This window comes from Homo sapiens, chromosome 16 (genome assembly GCF_000001405.40).
Source record: "Homo sapiens chromosome 16, GRCh38.p14 Primary Assembly".
NCBI classification, from domain to species: Eukaryota; Metazoa; Chordata; class Mammalia; order Primates; family Hominidae; genus Homo; species Homo sapiens.
In genome coordinates, this window is record NC_000016.10 from 11,454,314 (window position 1) to 11,465,257 (window position 10,944).

Sequence of the window (10,944 nt, forward strand, 5' to 3'; positions counted from 1 at the left end):
CCCCAAAAGATTAATTGAAGTCTTAATCCCCAATCCCTCCCAATGCGACCTTAACTGAAAATGGGGTCATTGCAGATATCATTAAGTCAAGATGAGGTCATACGAGAATAGGACATGCCCTTAACCCAATAGAACTGATGTCTCTATTAGAAAAGAAAAATCTGGACACAGACACACACACACAGGGAGAATGCCACATGACAAAAGAGGCAGAGATTAGAGAGGATGCGGCTGTAAGCCAAGGAACACCAAGCTTCAACATCCATCACCAAATGCTTGGAAAAGGCAAGGGAGGGTTGTCCCCAGAGCCTTAGAGAGAACATGGCCCTGGTGGCTCCTTGACTCAAACTTACAGCCTTCAGAACTGTGAAAGAACAAATTTCTGTTGCTTTAAGCTGCCCAATTCAGTAATTAGTTACAGAACCCTTGGAAATGAATACACCTCCAATGTATGCTTTCTTTGGAAGCTACTGAAAGATGTACTCCATCAGAACAAAGGAATAAACCAAGAGATATGACACAGGTTTAAGAAAAAGGGATTGTGACCCAGAGGAGAAGTAAAAGGAATTCCCAGGTTGATGGAAAAGGGAGGCTGCAGAACCACAGCTGTGCAACTGGTCGTCTTTGGAGCAGGACTCAGGCTCCAGGAAGAGGGTCCCCAAGAAAAATAACAAAACTAATTGAAGTCAATGAACAATCTGATGTGTCTGACCACCTGGAAAAAAGTTTTGCAATGCTGCTGAAAATTCTGTAATTAGTAGACAAAAATTATAGAAAACTAATCAAATAGAAAAATAAAGGCAATTACAAAACTCCAGAAAAAAACAATAGGTCACCATGATAGGACACCATATATCTCAGCTATGTAAGACATTTATAGTTATAATTGGGTAAGCATCAGATGTTAACAAAAGGTAACTCTTTTAAGAAAATGGAAGAGAATATGTATTTGAAAGGGGCACCAATCTAAGAGTTAAATTCTTATCTTCTCTAGTAAGAAACCTATGGAGAAGGCCTAAAGCTGAAAAATCAAGAAATAACAGCATGATTATATTATTTTTAAATATGGAGAATATAAACAGAAAAAATGGCTAAAAGAATTTAGCGTGCTTACTGTTTTAAGCAAGACTTGGGGTAGGGGCCAGGCACAGTGGCTCACACCTGTAATACCAGCACTTTGGGAGGCCAAAGAAGGTGGATCACTTGAGCTCAGGAGTTCAAGACCAGCCTGGCCAACAGAGTGAAACCCCGTCTCTACTAAAAATAGAAAAATTTGCCAGGTGTGGTGGCACACACCTGTAATTCCAGCTACTTGGGAGGCTGAGGCACGAGAAGAGCTTGAGTCTTGGATGCAGAGGTTGCAGTGAGCCGAGATCGTGCCACTGCACTCCAGCCTGGGTGACAGAGTAAGACTCCGTCTCAAAAAAGAAAAAAAAAAAAAAAGAAAAAGAGAAACAAACAAACAACATAGGCAGATGTGACAAAGAGGATGTATAAACTTTAATCAACTTTTATAAACTTTAATCTTTTAGATTAAACTTTATAAACTTTAATCAACTTTTAGAAAACGTAGTTCAGGTCTACACAAGAGCAGAGAGCATAATACAATGAGCCCCCATGGGACCCAGCTTCGACAATGAGCAACTCACAGCCGAATTCACTTTTAAACAAGGTATCGCTTCGATAAAAATAAAAACTGAAAAAATGGAAAAAAAAATTCGTGGATAAAATTTTTTTTTTTTTTTCCTGAGGTGGAGTTTCACTCTTGTTGCCCAGGCTGGAGTGCAGTGGTGTGATCTCTGCTCACCGAAACCTCCGCCTCCTGGGTTCAAGCGATCCTCCTGCCTCAGCCTCCCGAGTAGCTGGCATTACAGGTGCCTGCCACCACACATGGCTAATTTTTGTATTTTTAGCAGAGATGGGGTTTCACCATGTTGGCCAGGCTGATCTTGAACTCCTGACCTCAAGTAATCCGCCCCCACACCCAGCCTCCTAAAGTACTAGGATTACAGGCGTGAGCCACCATTCCCAGCCGGTGGATTCATTTTTTAAAAGTGACAGACAGTGTTTTCGAGACACAAAGATCTGCAAATGCAAAGGCCCTGGAGTGTGTCTGGGGAACAAAAAGAGGCCTCTGAGCCTGCAGGATAACGAGCAAGGGGGAGAGTGGGGTGGGACAAGGCTGGAGAAGGAGGAAGGGCCTGACACTTGACTGGCAAAGGTAAGAAGTTACGATGTAATTATAAGCATCACGGCACTCATTAAAGATAAGGTTTTCGTTTGTTTGTTTTTAAAATTAAGACAGGTTCCTACTATGGTGCCCAGGCTGATCTCAGACTCCTGGCCTCGAGAAGTCCTCCCGCCTTGGCCTCCCACAGTGCTGGGATTACAGGCGTGAGCCACTGTGCCTGGCCCAGTTTGAGTCTTGAGTTAGCCTAGCCAACAAAAGGAAAAGGTGTTCCAGGAAGGAGGCATAGCTTGAGCAAAGGCCTGGAGATCAGAAACCTGAGCTGCTAGCCAAGGAGGCCCCACAGCCAACACTCACCTTCCCACTTCCACAGGGTGGCCCGAGATGTGTCCTTCCACTGCCCGCCTGCCACAAACAGCGGCCGCCCATTGTACTGCACCTTCAGGTGACTGCTGCTCTCCACATAGGGCAGGCGGAGGCTCAAGTGGTAAAGCTGCACGCGGCAATCCACCTGCCTCTCAGGCACCTGCAGCACAAACTGGAGAATGCCCACCCCCCCAAGATGCCAATGGGATCATGCCACCCCTGGCGTAGAATGTGCCCGGGAAGTTGAGGCAGCAGCGAGCCAAGATTGCACTACTGCACTCCACACGGGCAACGGGAGTGGAACGCAGTCCAAAAAAACAAAAAACAAGGAGCGTTGGTAAGGATGTGGAGAAATCTGAATTCTCATACGCTGATGGTGGGAATGTGAAATAGTGCAGCTACTGTGGAAAACAGTGTGGCAGTTTTTCAAAAAATTAAAGATCGGGCCGGGCACGGTGGCTCACGCCTGTAATCCCAGCACTTTGGGAGGCCGAGGCGGGTGGATCACGAGGTCAGGAGATCAAGACCATCCCAGCTAACACGGTGAAACCCCGTCTTTACTAAAAATACAAAAAATTAGCCGGGCATGGTGGTGGGCGCCTGTAGTCCCAGCTACCTGGGAGGCTGAGGCAGGAGAATGGTGTGAATTCAGGAGGCAGAGCTTGCAGTGAGCCGAGATCGCACCACTGCACTCCAGCCTGGGCACAGGGCCAGACTCCATCTCAAAAAAAAAAAAAAAAAAATTAAAGATCGAATTACCATACGCCCCAGAAATAACACTTCCAGGTATACATACAAAAGAATTGAAAGCAATAGAAAGAATCGAAAGCATCAGATATTTGCACACTCACGTTCATAACAGCATTTATTCACAATAGCCAAAAAATGGAAGCAACCCACATGTCCATCAACAGATGAACGGATAAACAAAATGCTGTCTATACAGACAATGGAGTATTCGGCCTTAAAAAGGAAGGAAATTTGACACATGCTACGATATGGATGAACCTTGAGGACATGCTAAGTAAAATAAGCCAGTCAAAAAAAGGACAGGACAGGCACGGTGGCTCACACCTGTAATCCCAGCACTATGGGAGGCCGAGGCAGGTGGATCACCTGGGTTCAGGAGTTCGAGACCAGCCTGGCCAACATGGTAAAACCCCTGTCTCTACGAAAAATACAAAAAATTAGCCAGGGCTGGGCGTGGTGGCTCACGCCAGTAATCCCAACACTTTGGGAGGCCAAGGCAGGCGGATCACCCGAGGTCAGGAGTTTAAGACCAGCCTGGCCAACATGGCAAAGCCCCATCTCTACTAAAAAATACAAAAATTAGCCGGGCGTGGTCGTGGGCGCCTGTAATCCCAGGTACTCAGGAGGCTGAGGCAGGGAGAATTGCTTGAACCCAGAGGCAGAAGTTGTAGTAAGCCAAGGTCGTGCCACTGCACTCCAGCCTGGGCAACAGGCTGAGACTCCATCTCAAAAAAAAAATTAGCCGTGTGTGGTGGCAGGTGACTGTAATCCCAGCTACTTGGGAGGCTGAGGCAGGAGAATCGCTTGAACCTGGGAGGCGGAGGTTGCAGTGAGCCAAGATTGCACCATTGTACTCCAGTGTGGGCAACAAAAGCGAAACTCTGTCTCAAAAAAAAAAAAAAAGACAAACGGTATGATTCCACGGCTCTGTGTTAGCTAGAGTAGTCAAAAATCCGAAACAGAAAGTAGAATGGTGCTTTCCAGGGACTGGGAGAAGGAGAGAATGGGGAGTCAGCATTTCCTGGTTATAGACTTGCAGTTTTGCAAGTTCTGGAGATAAGTAGTGGTGATGGTTGCACAAGAATGTAAATGCATGTAATGCCACCAAACTCCAAAATGGTTAAAATAGTAAATATGGCCGGGTGTGGTGGCTCATGCCTGTAACCCAGCACTTTGGGAGGCTGAGGTGAGCGGATCACCTGAGGTCAGGAGTTCAAGACCAGCCTGGCCAACATGGAGAAATCCCGTCTCTACTAAAAATACAAAAAAATTAGCCAGACGTGGTGGCAGGCACCTGTAATCCCAACTACTCAGGAGGCTGAGGCTGGAGAATTGCATGAACCCAGGAGGCGGAGGTTGCAGTGAGCCAAGATCATACCATTGCACTCCAGCCTGGGCGACAGAGCGAGACTCCATCTCCAAAAAAATAAAAAATAAAATAAATAAATAAATAAATAAAAAACAGTAAATTTTACATGATGTATACTTAGCCACAATTAAAATTAAAAGTTAATATTTAAAAGATCATTTGCAGGACTGGATGTGAAAAGGGAAAAAATATCCTAAACCAATTTTTTTTTTTTTTTTTTTTTTTTTTGAAAAGGAGTCTCGCTGTTTCGCCCAGGCCAGACTGCAGTGGTGCGATCTCGGCTCACTGCAAGCTCCGCCTCTGGGGTTCAAGCCATTCTCCTGCCTCAGCCTCCCGAGTAGCTGGGGCTACAGGCACCTGCCCCCGCGCCCAGCTAATTTTTTGTATTTTTAGTAGAGACGGTGTTTCGCCGTGTTAGCCAGGATGGTCTCGATCTCCTGATCTCGTGATCCGCCCGCCTCGGCCTCCCAAAGTGCTGGGATTACAGGCATGAGCCACTGCGCCCGGCCCCTAAACAAATTTTTAAATAAACATACAAGGTTAAATGTGTGCTGTGTAAGAACCACCACCTGTTCAGCTGCTGAGCACACCATCAGTCCTAACTCAGCAAAAGAACCCACCCTCTGGGAAAGACTAAAAGCGAACCGCTCTTTCAAAAATGCATTTTTACAGGTGGAAATCTATGTTTCCCAAGCCCTCCTGCCAGTCCTTGGCACTCTGACAAGTGTTTCTCACCCCTGGGGACATGGGGTCATGGGGCTGGAGATGCAAAAGGGAAAGTCACCAAGGCTAAGTTTCAGCTGCTTGCATCCTTGTAGCCAGGGCCAGAGGGCCATGTGGGGGTTCCCCAGCTCCTACCGTCCATGCTGGACTCATGGGGCACGGCTCTGCCGCAGTGGCCAGGCTCACCTCCATGAAGTGATTGCTCAGGGCGGGCCCCGAGTCATTCTTGAAGGTCTGGCTGACACGGAGATGCCTCTTGTTGCTGTTCTTGTCCCAGTGCTTCCCGTAGCTCACCTCCAGCTGTGAGTGCAGGTGGCCCGAGTCCTCCTCATGCCAGAGCTGGACCTGGGACACACATGGGTGGTGAACTGCCCATGGAGGCCCTGCCCACCCAGTCCCTGGGCCTCCTCATAGCCACCCACTCCAGGGATATCAGCCTGGTTTTCAGAAGAGACGGTTCTGTAGAAAGCACTATTTTTTTTTAATTTATTACTTATTTATTTTAGAGACAAGATCTCACTCTCCCACCCAGACTGGAGTACAGTGGCGCCATCTTTGCTCACTGCAACCTCCGCCTCCTGGGCTGAAGCGTTCCTGGATGAACAGACATAAGACTGAGACTGAAGTTCCAGCCCCGGATCCATTCCCATATGGCTATGTGATTGTGAGCAAGTCCATCTCTTTGGGGATGAGTTCAGGGTACTCAGATCACCACTTGCCTGACTCTAGTGCTCTCTCCGGATGTCGCACCTGGCCTGGGAACCCACCTTGTGGCTGAAGGCTAGGATCTGTGTGCAGTGGAGCTCGTGGCGCAGCTCCAGCCTGTAGGCACCGTCTGAGCCACTGTCTGCCCGCAGCTTCTGGCTGGTGCTGCACTCGTGTGCCGCCTGCTTTGCCTGACCTGTGTGGATCAACCCAGAGACCCCTGCCCTCCTCTGCCAGGCAGCCCTCCACCAGGGCTCCAAGAGAAGGAGGGCCCGGCCCAGCCTGGCCTCAGCCACACCCCCCATGCTTTGCTCCACCTGTCACTCCATTAGAACCTGTCGATGGGGAGGTGTTAAGAGATGGGTGAATGTCTCCTCAACAGACACACTTTTTAATGGGCAGGTATTCAGTCCTACTCAGAGCCAACAGAATGACTAATGGAAAACCCCGTGGTGACAGCGTATCTCAGCTCACGGAGCCACAGCCCTAGGAAACAGGGCAGGCCCTGCCACCTCCACCTGCCCCGCAACCAGGCACGCAGTGCCTTACCCAGGAGGCTGTACTGGATCCTCAGGGAGTTGGTCCAGAGCTGGCCCCGTTGCTGCAGCAGGCCAAGGGCACGAAGCCCCACCAGCCCTGGCACAAACAGCTCGGCACCCAGGGCGGCCACCCTCCGTCCATTCTCCTCCTTCCTCTCCAGCAGTGCTGCAGGGACAGAGAGCAGGCAGATGAGAGGGTCAGCCCCCAGGGACCAGCACCCCCATCCCCAGGCAAAGAAGGGACTCAGGTATCACCGAGGGGCCTTGGGGTTGGGGGCTCCTTGAAGAGCCAACATGTGCACCCTGCACAACAGGCCACAGACAGGCCTGATCACAGCTCACTGTAGCCTTGACCTCCCAGGCTCAATCGATCTTCCCACCTTAGCCTCCCGAGTAGCTGGAACTACAGACGTGTGCCACCACACTTGGCTAATTTTTGTATTTTTTGTAGAAGCAGGGATCTCACTATGTTGCCCAGGCTGGTCTTAAACTCCTGGGCTCAAGTAATCCTCCTGCGTTAGCTTCCCGAAGTGCTGGGATTTCAGGCGTGAGACACTGTGCCTGGCCCAAAAATAAAGTAGAATAAAACAAAATCGAACAGGACAGAAGAGAAAAGAAAGAATAGCCCATCATGGGTTGTTGGGTAAATTTCACCTTCTGAAGCTTCTGAGACACAGAAGGTCAGCCAGAACGCACAGGTGAAACTGGGCCAGCTGTTATGACTCCCAGACACCCACATCGGGGGGTCCACAGCCACTGCTCCAAGTACCCCCAGCCCCAGCTCCTGTCCTTACCTTGGAATCTTCCGGAACACCCATGAGCGGCACACCCAGGCGCCACTACCCCAGCTCCAGCACCAGGGCCAGCACCTGCTCACTCTGTGTGTGTTTTAAATGCCCAGTGTATTTTAGGTCAAAATGTTACAAGTGTTTCTTATCGTGGGTCAGAATAAAAACAGTCCAAAAGTTGCTATTTTAAGGTTTGTGGGTGCAGTTGGAGGTTGGGGGAGGTTCTGGGGGCTCACATGGAGCTTGGATCTGCCCTTGGATGGGATGTTGATATTAAGAGAAGCTGCAGTGATGAGGACCATAAGGAGGCACTTGGGCCACCACACCCTAACCTGGCCACAGAGCAGAGGGGACAGAAGGGGTCTCATCTCCTACCTGTCACGTTGGCCTGGTCACTCAGCAGATGGCTCAGCGATGCGGAGAAGGCCAGCTTGCTGCCCACCTGCCGTGTGAGGTTCCCGGTGAAGACGACGGGGCTGCCCCCCGTCACCAGTTTCACCTCCAGCTGCGCCTGGAACCGCTCAGCCTCGCCACCCATGGCTGGCTGCAGGTCACTCCAGCCCTGAAACGGCCTCAGTGTCACCTGGGAGGACAGGCTTGGCCAGCAGGCCCAGCCCTTACCACACGAACTGGGACCAGACAGGGCAGGAGACAACATCGCTAACAACCTTCTACACCGATCCTTACCCAATTTTTCTTTTTCCTTGAGACAGAGTCTCACTTTGTCTCCCAAGCTGGAGTGCAGTGGTGGAATCCTGGCTCGCTGCAACCTCCACCTCCTGGGTTCAAGTGATTCTCCTGCCTCAGCCTCCCTGGGATTACAGTCACGTGCCACCACACCCGGCTAATTTTTTTATTTTTAGTAGAGATGGAGTTTCACTATGTTGGCTAGGCTGGTCTCAAGGTCCTGAGCACAAGTGATCCACCCGCCCTGGCCTTCCAAAGTGTTAGGATTACAGGCATGAACTACTGTGCCCAGCCCTTCCCCAATTTTTTAAACTCTGGATTTCTCAAAATTAGAAACCTGTGTTACAAACTCAGACATAAATGTAAGGGACTCCTCTTCTCTCCTTGACATCCCCCTCATTCAGTCCATCAGGAACTTGAGTCAACTGTCCCTATGGAACGCGTCTAGAATCAACCACTTCTGCCACCTCCGCTGCCTCACCAGCTGGAGCCCCGGTCATCGGCCTGTCTCACTGCAACATCCTCCTGGCTCTCCCGGCTCCCATCCCGCTGGTGGCAACTAATCTCCACACGGCAACCAGACACGTCGAATGATGGCACACTAGCCTTTCTTACAGTACAACCCAAAGTCCTTGTGAAGGCCAGCGAGGCCAGAACTTTCTCTGCTGGTCAGTGGTGCAGACCTGGCCATGGGAAGACACTGGCAGATGGGCCACGGGGACAGCTCACTACACACTCCACGGCCCCGCAAAGAAGATTCTCTGGAAAAGTCATGAGCAACTACAAATATCATCTTTGATGGCCCCGCCAACCTGTAGGCTCCCCACCCCCACGCCCCCCTGATGGCCACCAGCTGGTCAGTTTACCCAAAAGACGCCAAAACAAGACTCACTATTACCACACTGCCACTACTTAATGCTCTCTGTCCCCGATCCCCACAGATGTGTGTGCGGATGTGTGTGTATGAATGTGTGTGGATGTGTGTACAGATGTATCTGTACATGGATGTGTGTGTATACAGGGGTGTGTGTATACAGACGTGTATGTACACAGACATGTGGGTGCATACAGATGTATGAATGTGTGTATACATGGATGTGTCTGTATGTAGACATGTATGGACGTGTGTGTGAACGTATGTATACGGATGTGTAAAGAGGTGTATATATATGGATGCATGTATATGAATGTATGCATACAGATATGTCTACACGTGGATTGTGTGAATATGGATGTGTATGGATGTGTGTGTACGGACATGTGAACAGATATGTATATATGGATGTGTGTGTGGATATATGTACAGATATGTATATATATGGATGTGTGTATATATGAACGTATATACAGATGTGTCTACATATGGATGTTTGTGTGTATGAATATGTGTGTATGGACGTGTGTTTATGGACATGTATGTGTGTAAAGAGATGCATATATACGGATGCGTGCATATGAATGTGTACAGATATGTCCACATGTGGACTGTGTGAATATGGATGTATATGGACGTGTGTACACCACGGACATGTGAAAAGATATGTATATATGTGGATGTGTGTATATGAATGTGCATACAGATATGCATTTGGATGTGTGTGAATATGGATGTGTATGGACTCTGTACAGACATGTGTACAGATATGTGTGTATATACGAATGTATGTACAGCTGTATCTACATGTGGATGTTCGTGTATGTAAATATGGACGTGTGTATGATGTGTATGTGTATGGACATGTGTATGTCATATGTGTATGGATGTATGTGTGTGCACACACGAATATACAGACACACCCTTCTCCTTCCCTTTTTACAGAAACAGATGCTCGCTCTCCACTCTGCTCCCAGCTTTTCCTGCTGGCAGGCACATTCGAGCGATGGCTTTCTCCAGTCTGTATCAGAGGCTGTGCAGTGCTCGTCAGAGCTTCCTCAAGGTGCACATGAACAGGGTGAACACAGAATTTCTCACCCAAACCGGAACACTTTGCAGTTAAAGAGAACACTAGTTGTAAATGTGTCACGTCACCAGGCGTAAACTGGGGCTCTCCAGGCAACCCACGACCCAACCCCTGCACACTAGCAGGAGGGGGCACTGAACAGAACATTCTTCCCTAAACCAACCTTAAATCCCATTAGCTTTGAGACAAGTTGAACATAAGCTCTGGGACTTCGTATTCATGAGCTCATCTGCCTCAGTTTCTTCATCTTGTATTGGGTTACAGAGGACTTGAAGGGGGGACCTCCTGTCTGCTGAAACAGGCTCCAGAAAGTTCCGGAGTTCCGGCTGTTACTGTAATTGTGATGAGTCTGGGGCAGACGGAACTAGAATTTCTCCAAAGGCAAACATTTCCAGGCTGCAGGCAGCTCTATAGGGACCAGCAGGAAGATCCACGGGGAGGTAGAGGCAATCCGTGCTTGCACATTTAGCAAACAACTAGAAGTTCAAGGGCCCCTGGGAATTCTGAAAATGAGGCATAAGTCTCAGCCATCAGGCAGGTGGAGCTTTAGGAGGAAGACAGCTCTCCCCTGACATAGGTCTTCCCCCACCCAGGCTGACGGCAGAGCTGGAAGAGGAGAATGTATTTTTGCAGCAAGACATCCAGCTCCGGCTTCAGATGCTCCACTCCAGGCCTCTCTGAGAAGACACTGGAAACTGAGGCAGAATCAGGAGATCCACTGCCGAAGGTGCCCAGCAATCATGCCTGGTGGGATCAAGTCTAAAGCTGCTATTTGTACCCTGGCTGGAATGCAGTGGCATGATCTCGACTCACTGGAACCTCCACCTCCCAGATTCAAGCAATTCTCCTGCCTCAGCCTCCCAAGAAG

At 49.2% G+C, this 10,944-nt stretch overlaps 1 protein-coding gene across 4 annotated transcripts in view, besides 3 other annotated features; it reads right to left on the bottom strand.

Annotated features, from left to right (window-relative positions):
* LOC400499 (putative uncharacterized protein) overlaps positions 1-10,944 on the bottom strand; it is a 155,563-nt gene that overhangs the window by 82,299 nt on the left and 62,320 nt on the right. For 3 of the 4 annotated variants that reach the window (NM_001395505.1, NM_001370704.1, XM_047434105.1), the window contains exons 24-28: positions 7,804-7,990; positions 6,651-6,806; positions 6,164-6,297; positions 5,583-5,741; positions 2,546-2,726 (exon numbers count right to left, since the gene is read on the bottom strand). In NM_001395505.1, the coding sequence (NP_001382434.1) occupies positions 2,546-2,726; positions 5,583-5,741; positions 6,164-6,297; positions 6,651-6,806; positions 7,804-7,990 (817 nt within the window). Of the gene's footprint in view, positions 1-2,545; positions 2,727-5,582; positions 5,742-6,163; positions 6,298-6,650; positions 6,807-7,803; positions 7,991-10,239; positions 10,928-10,944 lie in introns of those variants that run through there. The other variant, XM_017023946.1, reaches the window with a different exon arrangement.
* Positions 2,166-2,685: an enhancer, noted in NCBI's record as "H3K4me1 hESC enhancer chr16:11550335-11550854 (GRCh37/hg19 assembly coordinates)". NCBI's record gives its function as "activates a minimal SCP1, AML or CMV promoter by ChIP-STARR-seq in primed H9 embryonic stem cells {active_cell/tissue: H9 hESC(primed)}" and the evidence as "EXISTENCE:reporter gene assay evidence [ECO:0000049][PMID:30033119]".
* Positions 2,686-3,203: an enhancer, noted in NCBI's record as "H3K4me1 hESC enhancer chr16:11550855-11551372 (GRCh37/hg19 assembly coordinates)". NCBI's record gives its function as "activates a minimal SCP1, AML or CMV promoter by ChIP-STARR-seq in primed H9 embryonic stem cells {active_cell/tissue: H9 hESC(primed)}" and the evidence as "EXISTENCE:reporter gene assay evidence [ECO:0000049][PMID:30033119]".
* Positions 4,196-4,335: an enhancer, noted in NCBI's record as "active region_10445". NCBI's record gives its function as "activates an Ori minimal core promoter by ATAC-STARR-seq in GM12878 lymphoblastoid cells {active_cell/tissue: GM12878}" and the evidence as "EXISTENCE:reporter gene assay evidence [ECO:0000049][PMID:35858748]".